We start from the raw sequence: 20239 nt of genomic DNA on the forward strand, positions 1-20239 counted from the left end.
GGCTGGATTCAAACTTCTTAAGCTGCTGTGCCATCGGGAAGGAGGGCGGTAGCCTCCCTGAACCTCGATTTCCTCTTCTGTGCAGGGCGCTGCGTGTTGTTCCTGCCTCCTAGATTTGAGCCAGAGAGAACCCAGTTAACTGGACGCCTGGTGTGGCCCTGGTGGAGAATGTTCTCCCCTCTCCCTGGCTTGTTTCCTCATCTCGCAAACAGGGACAAGGATGGACTCTCCCTTAAAGGGTCTTGAGAAATAGCTGAGGGCTCTGGGCCTGCTGGCCCGAGGAGGCTGAGCCAGATCTTGGGAAGGGTTCTGCAGGGCTTGGTAGCAGGAGGGAAGGAGGTAGCAGGAGGGAAAGAGGGGCCACGGCTGCCAGTGGGTCCCCGTGCTGTGGGCCGCGGGCCTGGTGGGGGTGGTAGCGACTCAGGACACATGGAGGCAGGGGCAACCTGTCCCCATTTCGCAGATGGGAAGCCTGAGGCTTTGGCTTCAGGGAGTTCTCAGTGCCCATCCCTGGGGATCCTTAACCCTTGCTCTCAGGGCCCTACCTGGTGACCTCACTGGGGGCGTGTGGTTATGGAGGGGTTTTCTCCCTTGGGGGACAGCCACCAGGCAGGGCAGAGCCACATAGTGGTGCCAGGGCATCATTGCTTTGCTCTCACCTGGGGCAGGGGTAGGGGCCCTAGGCTGCAGAGACAAGTGGGATGTGTGGCAAGACCCTGGTCCAGCCTCTCCCTGGACCCCTAACCCCATTCTAGCCTGGGCTGTGACCCCTGAGCGTAGCCCAGGCTAACCCCCTGATTCCGGCAGATGTGTGGCATCCTTAGGCCTTCAGTGGGGGGTAGTGTGGGGTGGTTCGGAGCCTCCTCCCTCCCAGTAGCCTGCAGCCCTGAGGACCTGTGCAGGGCCACTAGGCAGCAGGTCCAGGCCACGTGCTGGTGCCTGTGGGGTCTTCCTGGGTCCCTGGCAGCTGTAGGTGTGAGGGGTTGGTCAGCCCCTCAGGGAGAGGCCCAATACTGTGGTTTCTCTGGTGCTTTTCTTCCTTTCTTTCTGTAAACATGAGCTCGGCTCCCGTGTGCACACACACAGGGACATCCTGCTGCCCCAAGAGGGACCCAGGTGTTTGTGTGCTGTTAGCACGTGGTGGCTTCCCTCACCCACACTCAGAGCCTGTGCTCCCTCCAGTCGGGCAAGGTGGGGACTGGCGGGACCAGGGACAGTATCCTTGTCTCCACCTTTACCTCCTTCTGGGGGTCCCACCCCACCACCGGTTTTTTTTTTTTTTTTTGAGACGGAGTTTTGCTCTTGTTGCCCAGGCTAGAGGGCAATGGAGCGATCTCGGCTCACTGCAACCTCTGCCTCCAGGGTTCAAGCGATTCTCCTGCCTCAGCCTCCCGAGTAGCTGGGATTACAGGCATGCACTTCCATGCCTGGCTCATTTTTTATTTTTTTATTTTTAGTAGAGATGGGGTTTCTCCATGTTGGTCAGGCTGGTCTTGAACTCCTGACCTCAGGTGATCCGCCCGCCTTGGCCTCCCAAAATGCTGGGATTACAGGAGTGAGCCACTGCGCCTGACACCCACCGCCCATTTTAACCTTCCCAGAACCATGCAGTGGACAGAGCCTGAGGTGTGGCGGCTGCTCTGAGCCCATGAGCACTGGCTGCCACCCAGGGTGTGGAGGGCAGGCAGGGAGGAGCCCACTGTCCCAGGTAGCCACCCTCTGAGTCCAGGGGCCCAGGCCTCAAGCCCTACCTGCACCTGGGCTGAAGCTCCAAGGGCCCAGCCTGCCTGGTGGGCAGCTGGGAAGGGGGTGCTGGGGCTGGGGCAGGGGCACAGGTGAGAGGGGGTGGGTTGGGGAATGGAGGGCTCTGCTGGGCGAGGGGCCCTGAAGTGCCTTTCCTTGGGTAGCAGGCAGTAGTGACAGGGCCGGGCTTGGGTTGAGTCTAGGGGGCTGGAGAGTCTGCTAACAGCTGGGTCACAGCCAGGGCCAGCAGTGCGGGGACCCCTCAGCAGCAGTGCCCAAATACAGCTTGGGTCACTTGTGTCACCCCTCATCGTGCTCATGGGGTAACAAAGAGGCCGGCACCTTGCTCAAGGCCTCCCAGCCCTTCCGTAGAGAGGGAAGGGGGCTGCGTGCTCCTGGAACCCCTTTGCCTGGGAGCTTTGGGGTCATGAGACCCAGAAAGGGAGAGAGGCAGGCGTGGAGGTGCCTTGGGTTGCTGTGGCCCCCCCTGCCGCCTCCCCTCTTCAGGGCCCTGTCATGGTGTGAACCCACTCCTGGCCACCTGTGCTGTCACCACCTTGGCATGTGTGCCTGATGGCTGGCCCATTGGCGTGTTCTGTCCCCGCCTCCCTGAGCTCCTGGAGGGGCAGAGCTGGCCTGTTTATCCCCGAGCCTGGCTGAGACCTGTGTGAGCAGTGGAGACACAGTGGCGGGGGGACACTGGTGGACAGGGGGCTGCTGACAGGCAGGAGACTTTCTGCAGAAAGCAAGAGGCGATTAGGGTGGCCCACGGCCGCGTGTGGGGCCAGGCCCCTCACCTCCCTGTGCTGGCAGCACTGACCGAGTGCCTGGGCCCCATTCCCTGAGGATGGGCCACCCAGAGACACCTGGGCTCAGATGTTCACAGTGGCTGAGAATCGGAAGAGGAGAGGGCAGCTGTCCTGGGGTGGAGTTTCCGCAGATCACAGCAGGTGGGCAGGGGCCAGGCTCAGGCTTCTTAGGAACTCGGCCTCTGTCCCCACAGAGGGATCTGTCATCTGTGTGCTGGGGTTCATCATGTCCTCGGGGGTGTGTGTGTCCCTGAAATCCCTGTCCCCTCTGTCCTCCGTCATGCCCTGCTGGCTGTGTGGTGGCTACCCTGTCGCCTCTGGGCCCTGGGTCAGTCCTGGCAGGAGCCGTGCTTCCTTGTGCTCCCATATAAGGAAATAGACCCAAAAGGGTCATTCTCTCAGCATGGTCAGGAGGAGGGCTCTGGGAGAGGTGTCGCCTGTGACTGTGGGCTCATGACAGGCATGAACCCCTTGTGGGAGGCGGGGCCCCCTGTGATCCCTTTCTATTCATTTCCTTCGTCTTTCCCCACAGATGCTGTGTGCTGTGGACCCACCTGGGGTTCATGGAGTGGGCCACGGGGCCCAGCCCTAAGCACTGCTGCGCCCAGGGTCGCCGCGCCTCCTGCTGAGGGGTCCCCGTGCCACTGGCTCTCACCATTGCCCTCGCCTGCCGATGGCCTCTGCTGCCCAGCCTGGGGCCAGCTCTACCGCCTGAGCCCCCTGCCCCACTCCAGGACTCACCGTACCCCGATGGGGTAACGTGACACAGGCCCCACACGTCAGAGGCCGCTGTCCCCACGGCCACTGCCCGTGACCCCTGGCCCAAGGCAGCTGGAGTTGGTTCAGTTCAAGTTCATTCTTCCTCTGGCCCTTGGGGGCTTGGGGCCCACCTCTGAGTGAAGGGGGCTGTCTGCCCATCCACCAATGTGGAGAGGGCGCCCCCGGTGTGGGGTCCAGCTCTGGACACTGCTTGGCGGCCGGGTTCACTTTGAGTTTTTAAGTTTTCTTTGCTGAGCTTTTTTGGTTGTTCTTTTTATTTTTTGCCTCTTTATGACTATCCAGCTCTGAGAGACGGGAGTTTGGAGTTGCCCGCTTTACTTTGGTTGGGTTGGGGGGGGCGGCGGGCTGTTTTGTTCCTTTTCTTTTTTAAGAGTTGGGTTTTCTTTTTTAATTATCCAAACAGTGGGCAGCTTCCTCCCCCACACCCAAGTATTTGCACAATATTTGTGCGGGGTATGGGGGTGGGTTTTTAAATCTCGTTTCTCTTGGACAAGCACAGGGATCTCGTTCTCCTCATTTTTTGGGGGTGTGTGGGGACTTCTCAGGTCGTGTCCCCAGCCTTCTCTGCAGTCCCTTCTGCCCTGCCGGGCCCGTCGGGAGGCGCCATGGCTCGGATGAACCGCCCGGCCCCGGTGGAGGTGAGCTACAAACACATGCGCTTCCTCATCACCCACAACCCCACCAACGCCACGCTCAGCACCTTCATTGAGGTGAGTGGAGACGGAGGTGTGGCAGGCAGGTGGCCCAGGTGTCTGGGAAGCCCGGCTGAGCTGCCCTCAGGCCTCGCAAGAGGGGTCCCCAGCCCCGGCTGGCCAGACAGGGCTCACAGCCTTGGAACAAAGCCCAGTCGCCTGTTACAGGATCCTGGAGGAGGGAGATGGGGGTGCCCCGGGGGTTGGGGTTGAGGGTGTTGGGGGATCAACGGGGTCCCCTGGGAGGCCTGCAGGGGGCTGGCGTGTGATAGGAGGGACTCCACGCTGTGTGGATAGAGGCAGGGGGTGAGGCAGGGGGATACATGGACCAGGCTGTGCGTGCTCAGCCGTGGCCTGGGCTGGGGCCCTCCCGAGCCCTTTGCTGTCCCAGATGTTGCTGGGCTCTGGATGAGGCCTCAGGTTAGACCAGGCTGGACTAGGGGCTTCAGGGCCCAGATCTCTGTGTGAGGAGGGACTGAGCAAGGGTCAGCGCTGACCACAGGAGGGAGGGACCACTGTGCCCTGGAGAGGCAGCAGAGATACCTGCCGCTGGCAACCCTGGCAGATGGGACGAGATGCGTTTACAGAAGCTTTCTTGGGAGTGGAGTCTGGAGCGACCTGCATGGCCTCCTGGAGGAGCCTGGCCTCTGCAGAACGCCCTGCTGTTTGCAGGCCTGGGGCCGTTTGCAGCGTCTGCAGTTGTGTGCGGGGCCGTTGACAGAGCCTCTGACTGTGCCAGGCTGTGTGAGAGGCTGCAGCTGTGTGCAGGGTCATTTATGGCTGAGTCCTTTCCCCTGTGACATGAGATAAGCCATCATGGTCTTGTCATAATGAAACAGATTTGGGCGTGAGAGGGCATTAAGAACTGTAGAGCAGCAGGAGGCATTGGGCACCTTGCCATCAGGGAGCCTGGACCCTGGACACTGAGCCAGGTGCCCTACAGAAGATGGCTGTCCCTCTCGCAGCTGAGACCCCTGAGATAACAGCAGCATCTACAGAAAGATTGGCGAGAACAGCACGGTGAGTGGCCAGGGTGAGGCCTCAGAATATGACTGGGATCAGGGTTAAGTCTGTAACCAAGGTCAGGTCTCAGTGTGTGACCAAGGTTGGGGCTCACTGTTTGACCAGGATCAGGGCTCTGTGTGACCAGGGTCAGGGTTCGGTGTGTGTCTGGGATCAGGGCTCAATGTGTGACCAGGGTTGAGGCTCAGTGTGTGTCCAGGATCAGGGCTCAGTATGTGACCAAGGTTGGGACTCAGTGTGTGTCCAGGATTAGCGCTCAGTATGTGACCAAGGTTGGGGCTCAGTGTTTGACCAGGATCAGGGCTTAGTGTGTGACCAGGGCCAGGGTTTGGTGTGTGTCTGGGATCAGGGCTCAGTATGTGACCAGGGTCGAAGCTCAGTGTGTGTCCAAGATCAGGGTTCAGTGTGTGACCAGGATTGAGGCTTAGTAGGTGAGCAGGGTTAGGGAGGGCTCATCCTGTGACCAGGGTTAACGCTTAGTGTCTGACCAGGATCAGGGCTCAGTGTGTGACCCAGATCAAGGCTCGGTATGTGACCAGGATTAGGGCTCAATGTGTGACCAGGGTTGGGGGCTCAGCACGTGATCAGGATTAGGGCTCAGAGGTGTGTGACTATCAAGGCTCAGGACGTGACCAGGATCAGGGCTCAGTGTGTGACCAGGATCAGGAAGGGCTCAGCCTGTGACCAGGGCCAGGGCTGAGCCGTGGGCTGGGTGGCCATTCCCTCTGCTGAGGGTGCAGAGGGCCTCTGAGGTACCCCATGGCCACAGAGCCCAGCACCCTGCCTGCTCCCTGCATTCTCAGATAGTTGGGTGCTGGCCTCTCTGTGTTCCAGGTCCCTGTCCCGTGACCAGCAAGACCCATCAGCTGATTCCTCACCCCTCCCAAAATAGCTACGAGAGCAGGTGGGGTGGGAACAGCCCCCGCACGTGACCCCTGTGGAGTGGATCCTCCGCAGTGGGGGTATAACTATCGGCCTGGCTGTGAACTACCACCACCTTTTCCCTGGTCGTGTGGGGCTTCCCTGCTGGCGTACAGGGCCCAGCTTCCTCCTGGCTGCCATCTGAGCGGTGCCCACCCTCCCTGCTCTGAGGCGCCCCAGCTGATGCCCGCCCCTCTTAGACCCTAAAAACTGGACCCATCCCTGCGGCTCAGCTGGGGTCGCTGTTCGGATGCAGGGGCTCACACGTGGGCTGGGGAGTCCAGTTCCTGCTGTGGGGACCCAGTAGCTTTTCTGGAAGAAATGTCCTTGCTGGTAGATCTGGGGTCCTGAGCACCCCAGAGGAGGGAGTGGTGTGCTGGGCAGCTGGGGTCCCAGCTGCCAGTTACCGTGAATGTAGGTGGGGACACCTTTGCCTCTGCTGGGTGGCCCAAGGGACCTAGGACAGGCTCTTCGACAGCCAGACACTACCTCGACCAGTAGTGGAGCCTGAAGTCCACTCTTGGTGGACCTCACTGCATCAGGGTCTGCCTGGCTGGAGGGTGACATGCCCTTCCCTGGGGGCTTCAGGGGCCATGACCCTGCCCCAGGGGACTGAGGGGACAGGGCTCCACCCCGAGAGGTCTGAGGGGACATGTCCAAGTCCTGGGTGACTGTGGGGGACACAGCTGTGCCCTGGGAGCCCTGGTGAGTGGGTCCTGCCCCCTGAGCCCTGCAGCCCCAGCCCAGCCCTGCCTCCTCCGTCCTCCCACCCCCAGGACCTGAAGAAGTACGGGGCTACCACTGTGGTGCGTGTGTGTGAAGTGACCTATGACAAAACGCCGCTGGAGAAGGATGGCATCACCGTTGTGGTGAGGCGCGCGCCACGGGGACCCTAGTCACTGCTGCCACCGGGGGAGGGTGGGGCGGGGGGCTCCGGGCCTGCGCAGAGGGTTTGGTGCCCCTCCTGTGGCAGCCCTGGGCATGTCTGTGCCTGGGCCACGTGTGTGTCTGGGTACATCAAGGGAAGGCCAGGGTGTTGGGCCGTGTGACCTCAAGAAAGTCACCCTTGCGCACCCGTCTTTCTGTCTCTAGGGTGGGCCAGCACGGTTCGCCAGGCAGGGGTGGCACATGCTTGGTGCATCGGCCAAGGTGGCGGGTGGGCTCCTCTGCCTGTCTCAGGCCCTCCTCTGGGCCTGTCTTGGGTGCATCTCAGTCTTGCTGCCTGGGCGGCTGGGGCCCTGTTGCCAGGCAGCAGGCTCCTGGGGAGGGCCCTTGGGCAGTTTCCTCGGCTTCTTTGGCCCTGGGGACCCAGGTCTGGGCGGGGGGTGGGGCGGTTCTGCTGCGATATCCTTGGGGGGGTGGGCCACAGCAGCTGCAGGCCCAGAGCCAGCCCCAGGGGGGTCCACCCCCGGCCCGGTGGACGACTGCCCCCCTGGTGCAGGCCTGCCCAGCTGCGCCTGGGCCTCAGTCTCCTCAGTGCGGAGCACCCCTCAGTCACTGCTTTTCATCCCAGGACTCTGCTTTTGGCTGGGGTTGCAGTTTTGTGACCTCAGCTTGGCGGTTTGGAATGGTGGCAGCGCTGGCGGTTTGGGGTCAGACAGGCCTTGGGCTGCGTCCCGCCTCTGCCCTCCCCAGCCTTGCGACCCTGCAGGTCACTCCGAGCCTTGGGTTCCTCACCTCAAAGCGAGGCTGCTTGGAAGAATGGGAGGCAAAGGCATGTCCCCGCTTCTCGCACGGGGTGCGCCCACACCCTCCCTCCCCTTCCACAGCAGCGGGAGGGATTGGGGTCAGACGTAAGTAGCCGTGACACCGGTTGTCTCTAGGAGTTGCCCTGCCTGGAGGCTGGGGAGGGGTGAGATGCCCCCGAGGGCTGTGTGTCTGCCTCAGTGGGCCCAGCGGGCTCTCCCTGGTACCAGACAGCCCCATGCCTGGCACAGTCCCTGCATGAACCCGCCTTCCCAAGACTGAAACGTGTCCACTCCTACTGCAGCGCCCTGGCCCGGGCCCTCCCCTAGGAAGACTCACGTTGCCCACCGATCTAGGGCGCTGGGGGACGGGACAGTGGGAAGCACAGGTCATCTTCCAAGACCAAATTAACCCCCAGGAGCAATGGGCCGGGGCCCGGTGGAACCGCCTGTTTCGAGTCCTGCCCTCAGAAATGTGGGCCCTGTCTCGCCCCACAGCCCTGTCTTCAGTCCTTCCTGGCACCTGGGCTGTGTGTGGCATGTGCCAGCCATCTTTGCATGCCAGCACAGGGGATGAGACCCTTTGCACCAGCCGACCCAAAACCTCTCAGGCTGCCACCGGCACACAGGCGTGAGGGATTGTGACCCCAGAACCAGAGCTCGGGCTGACAGGTGTGGGGATTAGGATTTGTGCGACTCTGGAGCAGGCTCTATTCAGAAAGGGGTGGGGTGGTCCAGGAAGGCTTCCTGGAGGAGGGGATAGCTGCAGTGTACAGGGAATGATGAGGAGTCTGAAGCACTCACCATGGGGTGCCCATAGGCAAGCTGTGCCCCTCCTGTGTGCCCTCTGGGTCTGCTGCCCCCACCCTAGTGGGCTCCTGGCACCCTCTGCCTCTCAGAGCTCCCTTTCCTCGCCTGAGCCCCAGAGCCGCCTCTCTACCCTCCCTCAGCCGGGGGTCCTCATGTCTGCTTCCCTCCGTAGGACTGGCCGTTTGACGATGGGGCGCCCCCGCCCGGCAAGGTAGTGGAAGACTGGCTGAGCCTGGTGAAGGCCAAGTTCTGTGAGGCCCCCGGCAGCTGCGTGGCTGTGCACTGCGTGGCGGGCCTGGGCCGGTGAGTGTCGGGGCGGGGTAGGGCTCGCCATGTCAGGTGGTTGGGCATCTCGTGGTCTGACAGCCTCGCTTTTGGATGTGGGTCTTGAACACACGTCCACGCGACCTTCCCAGGAGGCCCATGCCCCTAGTGCTGGGGCTCCCAGACTGGTCCTCTCCCAGCATCACAGAGAGGAAGTGCTTCCCAAAGTCTAACCCAACTTCTTCCTGCTATGGTTGAAACCATCCTGACATCTTGTGTAGGAAAGGGCTGCCGTCCCCCTCTCCAGACACAAAGATCCCCCCACACACAGCTGGGGCCTCAGACTCCCTGCTGGGAGAACGGGAGGAAGAATGGCAGCTGGGATCGGATGACATGACCAGTGGGACACCCCCATCTGCAGAGGGAGACCCAGGCGAGCAGAGTTGATAGCAGGCATGGATCCGGCTCTTAGCACTTCACCCGCCAGCTCTTATTTAACCCTCCCCCAGCAGATCACAGAGAGGTTGCCTAGGAGGGAGCCAGGATTTAGACCCAGTGCTCAGGCTGGGCTGTGAGGCTGTGGCCTCCATGGGGGAGCTTCAGGCAGGGGGGATTCTGGGCCCCTTGGGCCCCCGTGCCCTGCATCTTCAGCAGGTGCCCTGCCAAGGGGACAGGGGTGCGCAGGCTCCGATGACCCCCGCCCTGCTGTTTGCCCCCAGGGCTCCAGTCCTTGTGGCGCTGGCCCTTATTGAGAGCGGGATGAAGTACGAGGACGCCATCCAGTTCATCCGCCAGTGAGTGGCCGCGGTGGTGGGGTGGGCTGTGAGCGCTGGGGGAGGGGAGATCCGGCTGCCCACGAAGGGTGGCGGCATTGGCTGTGTGGTTCCGTCGCTCTGAGGCTGCGTCGATCAGCACAAGCTGGGCCTTGCTGCAGAAACGGGGAAGCCTGAGGTGTTTCTGATGGGTGGGGACAGCAGCCCCCGAGTGACCATGCAGCCACACAGGGACACAGCGAGGCCACCCGCCACGCCGTCCTGCCCGCCCTCCACAGACAGAGCTCCTTCTGTCGCAGCCATCCTGACGGGGGTGGAAGGACCCCCAGAGCCAGCCAGTTCAGTCCCTCCATGAAAAACTAGAACCTGAAACCCCACACCACACCGTGTCCACCCCCAGGGACGCTGACAGTGGGCTAGTGTCTCAGGACTACTCTGAGTCTAGCTGCTCACCACCCCTCCCCCCAACCCCGAGCTCTCCAGCTCAGCCCCTCCCCGCCCTCCTTAGAGGCTTCTAGGCCAGCTCGCCTGCCCCATCCCTGTCACTTGGTGGCCTCCCTGGGGAGGGCTGCCATCTGCCCACTGCCCAGGGGGTCCTGGGGGAGTCTGGCCGGGATGGCAGGGCCAACTCTGGAGGAACGGATGCGGCACCTGAAGCCTGCCCCTGCCCAGCCCACCATGTGTGTGCCCGTGAGTGTGACACACCTGTGGTACTCCTCGGACAGGCTTGGCTGGTGGGGCCATCTCTTCCTCCCAGAGGCAGGCTTGTTCCCAGCCATGCCAGCTGGCCCTGTGGGTCTGTGTGAGAGTGTGGCCCGCCCTGTGGGTCTGCGAGAGCGTGGCCCGCCCTGTGGGTCTGTGCGAGAGCGTGGCCTGCAGGTGCTCAGGTCTCCCTGGGGACCATGGGATGTGCACGCTCACACACAGACACGCATGGGGGTCATACAGGCACACATTCACAAGCACATGTGTGCCCACACAGACCCAGGCATACGCAGGCACACACTCACAGGCAGGTGTGTGAACACAGGCACATACAGACAAGCGGGTATTTGCACACATGGACACACATGGATGCACTCAGGCATGTACACACGTGTGCACTCATACATGACATGCACTCTCACACATGCGGGTGCACACCTTCCCCGGGTTCTCTCCCCACCCCACGTCTCACCGAGCAAGGGCTTGTCTCTCCCTTGTGGCTTTTGCTGTGTGGCTCCCCGCACCTGAGGCTGCGCTGGTCAGGACAGGTTGGGCCATGCTGCGGAAACAGCCAGGCCTGAACCCCAACGACTCAGAACAGCACGGGCGTTTCTTGCCCCTGTTGCGTGTCTGTTGGTGGGGGCCCTACCCGGAGGCGTGGCTGAGGGCTGCGCCTTCCCCAGTGTGCCGGCTGCTGGGCGAGGAAACGAGCACGGTGGAGCCACACGGGGCACCTGCAGCTTTGCTGGGCAGAGACTCCTCGCGCTACTGCTGCTCCCACTTCCTTGGCCAGGGCCAGCCTGTGGCCACGCCTGAGGTCATGGCAGGTGGGGATGGATGAGCCTCCAGAGGCGCTGGGTGGGCAGCCCCCGCCCCTCAACGCCTGTCACCTCAGGGCCTCTCAGGTGTGGCTGCAGCATCCTCTCCAGGAAGTCTTCCTGTTCACCCCAGCCAGGTACATGTGGTCAAGGACCAGGTGGCGGGGCAGGGTGAGCACATAGCCCAGGTCCCTGCTGTAAGGACCAGGTGGCGGGAGCAGGGTGAGTGTACAGCCCAGGTTTCTGCTGTAAGGACCCGGTGGCGGGGACAGGGTAAGCGCACAGCCCACGTCCCCGCTGTAAGGACCAGGTGGCGGGGACAGGGTGAGCACACAGTCCAGTCCCCGCTGTAAGGACCAGGTGGCGGGGACAGGGTGAGCGCACAGTCCGGGTCCCCGCTGTAAGGACCAGGTGGCGGGGACAGGGTGAGCGCACAGTCCGGGTCCCCGCTGTAAGGACCAGGTGGCGGGGACAGGGTGAGCGCACAGTCCGGGTCCCCGCTGTAAGGACCAGGTGGCGGGGACAGGGTGAGCGCACAGTCCGGGTCCCCGCTGTAAGGACCAGGTGGCGGGGACAGGGTGAGCGCACAGTCCGGGTCCCCGCTGTAAGGACCTGGTGGCGGGGACAGGGTGAGCGCACAGCCCACGTCCCCGCTGTAAGGACCAGGTGGCGGGGACAGGGTGAGCGCACAGTCTGGGTCCCCGCTGTAAGGACCAGGTGGCGGGGACAGGGTGAGCGCACAGTCCGGGTCCCCGCTGTAAGGACCAGGTGGCGGGGACAGGGTGAGCGTACAGCCCAGGTTTCCGCTGTAAGGACCAGGTGGCGGGGACAGGGTGAGCACACAGTCCGGGTCCCCGCTGTAAGGACCAGGTGGCGGGGACAGGGTGAGCGCATAGCCCAGGTCCCCGCTGTAAGGACCAGGTGGTGGGGATGGTGGGGACAGGGTGAGCACACAGTCCGGGTCCCCGCTGTAAGGACCCGGTGGCGGGGACAGGGTGAGCACACAGTCCAGGTCCCCGCTGTAAGGACCCGGTGGCGGGGACAGGGTAAGCGCACAGCCCACGTCCCCGCTGTAAGGACCAGGTGGCGGGGACAGGGTGAGCGCATAGCCCAGGTCCCCGCTGTAAGGACCAGGTGGTGGGGATGGTGGGGACAGGGTGAGCATGCAGCCCAGGTCCCTGTTGTAAGGGAAGGTCGCGCAGCTGGGCTGGAATTCTGGGCTCAGCCCCTCCCTTACTCACAGGCCCCCCTTCCTGGATGGTGGAGGTGCCCAGGCACCACCCTTGTTGTCTGCTCATGGCCTTGGGGTGGGTCCTACCGAGCTAGGGAAGCCTGGGGGCCGTAGGGAGCCCAGAGTCAGCCTGGAGGAGGTGGCGCTTTGGTGAGTTTGGAAGGCAAGCAGGGGTGAGCTGCAGGGGGCCAGGAAAGGGTGACTGTGACTCTGGGAGCAGCCGTGCCAAGGCCCTGGGACAGGAGGGGCTTGGCCAGCCTCAAGGCCTTACTCCAGCCCACTGCACTCTCAGATTCCAGCTCCCTGGGGCAGGTGAGATGGCCGAGCCAGGTCCTTGGATGATCTCTGTTCCTGTTCCCCTCTTCCCAGGAAGCGCCGCGGAGCCATCAACAGCAAGCAGCTCACCTACCTGGAGAAATACCGGCCCAAACAGAGGCTGCGGTTCAAAGACCCACACACGCACAAGACCCGGTGCTGCGTTATGTAGCTCAGGACCTTGGCTGGGCCTGGTCGTCATGTAGGTCAGGACCTTGGCTGGACCTGGAGGCCCTGCCCAGCCCTGCTCTGCCCAGCCCAGCAGGGGCTCCAGGCCTTGGCTGGCCCCACATCGCCTTTTCCTCCCCGACACCTCCGTGCACTTGTGTCCGAGGAGCGAGGAGCCCCTCGGGCCCTGGGTGGCCTCTGGGCCCTTTCTCCTGTCTCCGCCACTCCCTCTGGCGGCGCTGGCCGTGGCTCTGTCTCTCTGAGGTGGGTCGGGCGCCCTCTGCCCGCCCCCTCCCACACCAGCCAGGCTGGTCTCCTCTAGCCTGTTTGTTGTGGGGTGGGGGTATATTTTGTAACCACTGGGCCCCCAGCCCCTCTTTTGCGACCCCTTGTCCTGACCTGTTCTCGGCACCTTAAATTATTAGACCCCGGGGCAGTCAGGTGCTCCGGACACCCGAAGGCAATAAAACAGGAGCCGTGGCCGTGTGTGTGGAGTGGGCTACAGCGTCAGGCGGGGCGGGCTGGTGGCCTGGGGGCCCCAGAGGCTGCTGTCTGGATCCTGGGCTGGTGCCCAGGATGGGGCTCCCGCGTGCTCTTGCGCTGCCCTCTGGTGGCCGCTCTGGGTCCTTGCACCCCGACCCAGGGGCCAGCCTGCCCTGTCCTGTCCTGATACCGAGGTGGGAGCCCTGCCTTGGCCAGGGTGGCCGTGTTGACGGTTCTTGGGACTGTGACATTGGAAGGCGAGGCAGGTCACCAGCACTGTCCTCTGCAGGATGGGCTGGGATTCATTTGGCAGCTTCTCAGGGCCTGTGTCCGGCTGGTTGGTCCCTGTGCTGCCCAAACCAGGTGTCCACATTTCCGGCTCCGAGGCGCAGAGAAGGGGGCAGGTGGTGGCTTGGGTGGAGGAAGTCACCATCCATCAGCCCAGGGAGGGAGGGTGCCACCTGGGCACCTGGGGCTGGATGTGAGAGGCCTGGACCAGGGCCCGCCGGAGGGCGTGGACCAGATGCTCATGTGTTCCTGGGTGCAGTGTCTGTGTTGGGGGCTGGCCCCACCCTGGGCCGGGGTGCATGGAGGGCATGGCCCCAGCGGGGAGGAAGGTGGGCCTAGGGCTGGCTCCAGGGTGTGGAGAGCCTGGGAGTGGTCTCCGTCCTGGGGCCCCAGGAGGTTCCCGCAAGGAGCGACTGGGGCAGGTGCTGGAGGAGGTCAGTGGACAAGATGGGGAGATGTGGAAACCCCAAAAGCCCCTTCTCAGGCAGCCCTGCCCCCAAGACCGACAGATGGCTAAGGGGGCCGCAGACCTGGCTCCCCCAGCTCCTGTGTGGAGAAAGGGCAACAGCTGTCCCGGATGGTTATTCTCTCCTTTCCTCAAACACATTTGGAACTCAAGTAAATCCAATGCATGTTGGGTGAAGTTTGCTGTATTTTTTCAATCCACCAGCCAAGTTTTGGGGTCACCTCTGCTGGCCCTGTGTAGCCATGTCCCTGCCCCAAGAGGCTCACAGTCTAGCAGGGTTGGGGGGAAGACAGGCTGGTAAGCCTCCCAGTTACAGCTAGGGGTGCTCCACCTCGGGGGGTGGCGGGGACAGGGGGCATGGAGGTGGGGCCTTGGGGTGCTGCACCTTGGGGGGACTGAGGGACAGGGTGCATGGAGGCAGGGCCTCAGGGTGCTCCACCTTGCCGGGGGGACGGGGGAATGGGGGGCATGGAGGCGGGGCCTTGGCGTGCTCCACCTTGGGGGGCAGGGGAAATGGGGGCATGGAGGTGGGGCCTTGGTGTGCTCTACCTCGTGGGGCAGGAGAAATGGGGGCATGGAGGTGGGGCCTTGGTGTGCTCCACCTTGTTAGGGGGCAGGGGGACAGGGGCATGGAGGCGGGGCCTGGGGGGGGCACAGTGCAGAGTACCACGTCGGGAGGTGGGGGAGATGCCCCAGGTGGAAGGACTGCCTGAGCTGAGTGTGGAGTGGGGGTCCGCGCTGGCCAGGAGGGGAAAAGGGGTGCAGTCTGGATTATCCCATTGGTGGGATGGTGGCTGGCCTGGCAGGATCCCGAGACAGATGCAGCATGGGATGGGGCCCCAGGCAGAGCTCTGCAGGGAGGGGCTCTCCAGGAGCTGTGTGGACCCCAGGCCAGGCGGAAACCCAGGCCGAGGCCGAAGGTTGGGCAGGTCCCCTGGTGGCTCTCTGGGAGTCCAGGGTACCTGCCTCTGGACTCATCCCTCCAAGGGTCTCGGGAGAAAGGTCTTACTGCCCATTTTACAGATGGAACAGCTGAGGCTCAGAGAACCAAGACTCCTGCTTCAGGCGACAGTGTGTCCAGGGTGGGCCTGGCTGGTTCTGCTGCTAGCCCTGAATGGACTGAGGAGGATGTTGGTGGGGGTGGAGGGAGACGCTGGGGGCCCGAGGCTGGGGGTCCCGACTGAGGGGACCCCGTCCGACCGTCAGCCCCCAGCCACTGTGGCGCGCCAAGATGGAGACAACTGAAGATTGAGTGGCCACCCTGGGCGGAGGCTGCCCTCAATTTGAGTGCCTGCCCAGCCCCAGCCCCCAGGACCCTGGGACCCTGGCAGGCTGTGGCTTGGGCTCAGGCCCCAGTCAAGGTGACCCTGTCTCCAGGAGTGGACGGGTATCCACCTGCAGGGCACTTCACAGACTTCATAGTTTGTCTCTGTCCCCTGGGCCTGACCCTGAGTTTGTCCCCAAGTCCTGCCAGTGTCTCCTGGGGCTTGGCTTGGTCACAGCAGAGGGGCCTGTGGTGGGCAGGGAGCTGACACGCATAACGCTTCTTTTGTTGAATCTAGATCTTTCTTTCAAATGGAAAAACGTTATGCAACCAAGCTCTGTGGGGGGCGGATGGGGCAGGGCTGACCAGGTGGACACGGGAGGGGAAGGCGGTGGGTGGGGGAGGATGGCTGGAGGTCACTGCTTGGGTCTGGCCGACACCTTCTGGAGGAAGGAGAGCTGGCTGGTGGCGAATTCCCGGATGCTGGGCTCAGGGTCACTTCTGAGATGTTCAAAAGCTCCAGAAGAGGAGGAGCAGGTCAGAGGTGACCCCAGCGCAGGAGCAGCCCCTTTACTCCAGCCCAGGTGTTGGGGGGGTGGGGGGTGGGGTGGGTGGTGGGTGGGGCCAGCTCAGACCCCACCTCCTGTGACTCCAGGCCTGGGATGCTTCCCTCCACCACTAACCCACCACCCCCATTCCCCAGCCCCTTGTTCTGTTGGTGCCATGAGGCAGCTGTGGAGTGAGTGTGAGCCTTAGGCCCCAGGTGCCCTGATGGGGGCCTGGGGAGGGGAAGGGCCAACCTCAGCCTCCAGACATGAAGGTGGGATGGCGGCTGGGTGCTGCCCAGGAGGCCTGTGTCTTTGTCCTGATGCTGATGCTGGGTAGGGGGGGCAGGAGGGGGTTCCCTTCTGGGGCCTCAGTCTTGCTGTCTGTGCAGTGGGTCTTAAGAGTGCTTGGGCAGGGGTGGGAGGGTGCGGGCTGCGGGAGCTCTGGAGGGAGGGCTGCTTACTGCGGAACAGCAGGTTGGTGTCCACAGCATTCAGCATCTGGAACACGGCCTGGGGGTGGTAGCAGATGGTGTGGCCTGTGTAACAGACGGGCAGCTGGTGGCTCAGGGCTCCCTGTCTCCTGGGGGGCTGTAGCCCACCCCTGCCCCTCTTCAGCCCCAAGCTCCTCCTCATCCACCCCCTTTCCTCTCTTGTGGGTGGTGAGTCAGGGAGGGTCAAGGGTGCTTGGGTGGGGGCAGGCCTGGGGGTCTTTAAGCCCGGCCTCGCCCTCCCACCTATGAAGAGTGTCACCCAGGTCTTGATGTGGCAGGAGTGGCTGTGCAGGTAGCTGAGGGCCTGTGACAAGTGGATGCTGAATTCCTCCTGGCTGCGGGTCATCTGGCCGGAGGAGAGCACACCTGGCTGGGACGGGCTGGGGGCCCTGGGCATACCAGGGTCCTCCAGCCCCAGTTTGCCTTGCCCAGCCCCTGGAGCTGCTATAGCAGCTGTGTGTGAGACGGGAGTGAATGGGGGAGCCGCAAGCCTGGTCTCCCCCACTCCCTGGCCCTGTTCCTCCCCACCGATCCCAGGCCTCTCACCAGGCAGGTCCAGAGGAAGTGGCGGGCGCTGAGGCCCCTCTCCCAGGCCAGCGTGCAGAAGAGGGTGTGCAGTAGCCGCCAGCGGAGCAGCACAGCACAGCGGTAGAAGGTGAACTTGGCCTGCTGCAGGGACAGGCGTGGAGGGTCACCCACCGCCTATGTCTGAGCCCTTTCCCCTAGAGGCCACAGGCCTCCATGGGCACTGGAGGCAGCCTGCTGTGCGGGTGTTCCCTGGTTCTGTCCTGCTTGTGCCCCTCGGCAAGCCTCCCCGACCCTGGCAACAGCACCTGGCCCCCCGGAGCCCAGGCTGGTCTGCCCGCGGCCCTGGCCCTGCCCCTTCCACGGTTGCCCCGTATCCTTTTCCCCATGGCAGGGAGACCCGCGAGGCCAAGCTCTGACTTCGTGGGCTGTGCACAGGGCATGTGCTGCCACGGCAGGCAGGGCACAGTCCATATTCACACAAGCTCTGTGAGCTGCTGGACCCCCTGCCCCGTTACAGGGACTGGGGGCACAGCAGTGAGCAGAAAAGACCGGGTCCTGCCGCATCGACGGCAAGTCTCGCTCGCATGCGTGTGCGCAGTGGGGGAGCGGGCAGGCCAACTGTGGTCACAGAAACCAGTGCAGATGGCCAGACCCTCTGCCCGCCACTTGCTGCCCCGTGGGAGCTCCCCCAACTCTCAGGCAGTGCTGCTGCCATCCGTCTGCCCCGTACCCTGGCCTCCTGTGGGTCCCAGCCCTGGCCAAGGTGAAGGCCTATCACCTGCCTTTCCTGGGGTGGGCACTGACCGTGGCGACAGCTGGGCATTGGTCCTTCAGGTGTAGGAGCAGGGGCACCATGCTCTGGTGCACCTGGGTCCGCAGGCCGCTCAGCTCCCTGTCTGCCATGGCCGCCACCAGGTCCCCGAACAGTGCCATGGCTGCCGCCCGAATCCCGTCCCGCTCCTGCAAGGCAGAGGCTCAGAGGCACGGCCAGACCTGTCCAGGGGTCCCAGCTTTGGTCCAAGTTGGGACCCCACACCTTGTAGGGGTACAACTCAGTTCTTTCTGCAGGATTCCTTCACCCAGGCTCTCGGCTCCCGGGGAAGGGAAGGGCTGGGGCTCCCCCCTCACACAGGGCTCTCTGGTGTCCCTGAGGATGTAAGAATCACATCTCCCTTCTACCCACAACTGCATCCTGGCAGCCCAGGCCTCATGAATGCATTTGAGGGGCGCCTATCCCCCAGATTCCCCAGTGAAGGAAAAACAGCCACGCTAACCGTGCTGACATGTCAGAAAGCAAATCTGGGTAGGCTGTCGTGGGGCCGGAGACCACTGCACTTGGAGACTGAACGTGAGAACTAGTTCAGCCCTGTGGAGAAGGGGTGAGCGCCAGGGGCCCACCCAGCCCACCTGCTCAGCGCCCACCTCAACCGAGGGCCACAAGCGGGCAGCTCCCCAGGGCCTGGGCCTCCCTGCTTGCAGCTTGGGGTTCCCCCTTTGGCAGAGGAAGGGAGCTGGGTTGGGAGGAGGGTCCTGGAGGGCGTGAGCAGGAGGTAGCCCCGCCCTGCCCCAGTGCTCACGTCATTAAAGAAGGAGCGTGTGCTGATGGCAACGCCGAGGCTCTGACTCCCTGTGCCCTGCGCGCCCAGGCGGTGCAGCGTGTCTGACACGGTGCCCATGATGCACACGATCACCTGGTCGCTGCTCTGGAAGAAGCCGTCGAGCAAGGGCCGCAGCTGTCCCTGGAGCAGGCTTCCCTGGGGGTGGTGGCGGCTGGTGGGCGGAGAGCACTAGGACCCGCTGGCCCCATGCCCCCGCCTCGTTCTCCCACTTGACCCCCTCACCCCATCTGCACTGGGTGGGGGGGTGGGGGGTGGTGATTCAGAGCTGTGGGTCCCGGCCTGGCCCTTCCCGCCATGGGGAGCTGTGGGTCCCGGCCTGGCCCTGCCCGCCGTGGGGAGCTGTGGGTCCCGGCCTGGCCCTGCCCGCCATGGGGAGCTGTGGGTCCCGGCCTGGCCCTGCCCGCCGTGGGGAGCTGTGGGTCCCGGCCTGGCCCTGCCCGCCGTGGGGAGCTGTGGGTCCCGGCCTGGCCCTGCCCGCCGTGGGGAGCTGTGGGTCCCGGCCTGGCCCTGCCCGCCGTGGGGAGCTGTGGGTCCCGGCCTGGCCCTGCCCGCCGTGGGGAGCTGTGGGTCCTGGCCTGGCCCTGCCCGCCGTGGGGAGCTGTGCCCCTAACTGGGCTTTGTCCACCAGGAGCTGCGTGGTCTGGACAGGGTGGCCTCTTTTCTTTTTTGAGACAGGGTCTCACACTGTCACCCAGGCTGGAGTACAGTGGTGTGACCATAGCTTACTGCAGCCTTGACCTCCCAGGCTCAAGCAATCCTCCCAACATAACCTCCTGAGTAGCTGGGTCTACAGGTGCGTGCCACCACACCTGGCTATTTTTTTTTTTTGGGTGGAGATGGGGTCTCACTATGTTGCCTAGGCTGGTCTCAAACTCCTGGGGTTGAGCAATCCACCTGCCTTGGCCTCCCAAAGTGCTGGGATTATAGGTGTGAGCCAACACATTCGACTTGTCTTTTTTTTTTTTTTTTAATTAATTTTCAGCCAGTTCCGTCTTCTCCACTTGATTGCGTGTTTGCAGTGATTTCCTGAGTTATCGGGATGAATGGTCAGAAAGCAGTGTGCCCACCAATGGATGTTTCCTGCCATTGGGCCCCTTAGCAGTGACTTGGGTGCAAACCAGGGTGATTTTTACAACTTTTAAACAAGTTTAAAGCAGCTTTGTTGGCTTTCTTAGCTGTTTGCTTTGAAAATATTAAATTCATTTTCAGCAAGTGAGTCATTCAACAGTTACACTTTCTGAGCATCTATGTTTGCAGCCAGTGTTCGAAGACCAGGGTTCTGGCCAGGTCAGAGCAGGACAACAGAATGAAATTGTAATGGAAATGGTGAGAAAAGAAAAGAAAAATGCATAGCATGGCGTATTTCCACTCAGAGTGGAGTGGGGTGGCCTGCCCCAGCCACACCTGGTTCAGCCTTCCCATCCCCAAGCCGGCAGGCCTCCCTGGCTGGCAGTGCTCTCGGGGCCTGTCTCCTCTGGTCTGCTGTGGCTGCTTGCCCATATCCCACCTGATGCCAGGCGGGGAACCATTCCCTCTTCTCTGGACCTGGTCCTCCTGATCTAGCAGGGCCCTTCTTTGCCTTTCTGTATTCCCTGTATTCAGTGCAGGGTACAGAGGAGGCACATGGAAACTTCCTACTGATCATTTCCCTGCCTGAGAGAACATTTGGTGCACAGATAACCGAACACTGAATGAATGAATGAGGGAGCAAACGTGAATAACTGGGTGAATGAATAGACATAAAAAGAATGAACAAAATAAATAATGCAAGAATGGGTCACAGATGAAGGACCCAAGGAACAAGTGGGTGGGTGG

At 62.8% G+C, this 20239-nt stretch overlaps 1 protein-coding gene, 1 long non-coding RNA gene and 1 other non-coding gene across 33 annotated transcripts in view, besides 3 other annotated features; 2 read left to right on the forward strand and 1 right to left on the reverse strand.

Annotated features, from left to right (window-relative positions):
• Positions 1 to 14151, forward strand: part of PTP4A3 (protein tyrosine phosphatase 4A3) — a 40434-nt gene extending 26283 nt beyond the window's left edge. For 9 of the 28 annotated variants that reach the window (NM_007079.4, XM_047421300.1, XM_047421305.1 and 6 more), the window contains 4 exons: positions 3085 to 4042; positions 6745 to 6837; positions 8636 to 8766; positions 12624 to 14151. In NM_007079.4, coding sequence (NP_009010.2) covers positions 3938 to 4042; positions 6745 to 6837; positions 8636 to 8766; positions 12624 to 12741 — 447 coding nt within the window. In that variant the 5' untranslated portion in view covers positions 3085 to 3937 and the 3' untranslated portion in view covers positions 12742 to 14151. Of the gene's footprint in view, positions 1 to 85; positions 4043 to 6744; positions 6838 to 8635; positions 8767 to 9446; positions 9522 to 12623 lie in introns of all 28 variants that reach the window. The other 19 variants (NM_032611.3, XM_011516803.2, XM_047421290.1 and 16 more) reach the window with 7 other exon arrangements.
• Positions 13304 to 14284: an enhancer, noted in NCBI's record as "H3K4me1 hESC enhancer chr8:142441707-142442687 (GRCh37/hg19 assembly coordinates)". NCBI's record gives its function as "activates a minimal SCP1, AML or CMV promoter by ChIP-STARR-seq in naive H9 embryonic stem cells {active_cell/tissue: H9 hESC(naive)}" and the evidence as "EXISTENCE:reporter gene assay evidence [ECO:0000049][PMID:30033119]".
• Positions 15048 to 15736: an enhancer, noted in NCBI's record as "H3K27ac-H3K4me1 hESC enhancer chr8:142443451-142444139 (GRCh37/hg19 assembly coordinates)". NCBI's record gives its function as "activates a minimal SCP1, AML or CMV promoter by ChIP-STARR-seq in naive H9 embryonic stem cells {active_cell/tissue: H9 hESC(naive)}" and the evidence as "EXISTENCE:reporter gene assay evidence [ECO:0000049][PMID:30033119]".
• Positions 15368 to 15520: a silencer, noted in NCBI's record as "fragment chr8:142443771-142443923 (GRCh37/hg19 assembly coordinates)". NCBI's record gives its function as "represses an EF-1alpha promoter that drives an FKBP-Casp9 reporter gene in an ReSE screen in phorbol 12-myristate 13-acetate-treated (for megakaryocytic differentiation) K562 erythroleukemia cells {active_cell/tissue: K562(+PMA)}" and the evidence as "EXISTENCE:reporter gene assay evidence [ECO:0000049][PMID:32094911]".
• Positions 15522 to 20239, reverse strand: part of MROH5 (maestro heat like repeat family member 5 (gene/pseudogene)) — a 73405-nt gene continuing 68687 nt past the window's right edge. For 2 of the 3 annotated variants that reach the window (NR_102363.3, NR_160399.1), the window contains 6 exon segments: positions 15522 to 15755; positions 16248 to 16322; positions 16521 to 16623; positions 16824 to 16946; positions 17610 to 17765; positions 18383 to 18559. This is a non-coding gene — a transcript (maestro heat like repeat family member 5 (gene/pseudogene)). 3 annotated transcript variants of the gene reach the window in all.
• LOC107983985 (Putative chemokine-related protein FP248) lies at positions 16817 to 19640 on the forward strand. 2 transcript variants are annotated; one of them, NR_188164.1, is made up of 4 exons: positions 16817 to 17850; positions 18005 to 18184; positions 19100 to 19217; positions 19407 to 19640. It is a non-coding gene; the product is annotated as a Putative chemokine-related protein FP248 (long non-coding RNA). The 2 variants fall into 2 exon arrangements; NR_188163.1 differs by having other exon boundaries at positions 16817 to 18184.

This window comes from Homo sapiens, chromosome 8, assembly GCF_000001405.40.
Source record: "Homo sapiens chromosome 8, GRCh38.p14 Primary Assembly".
NCBI classification, from domain to species: Eukaryota; Metazoa; Chordata; class Mammalia; order Primates; family Hominidae; genus Homo; species Homo sapiens.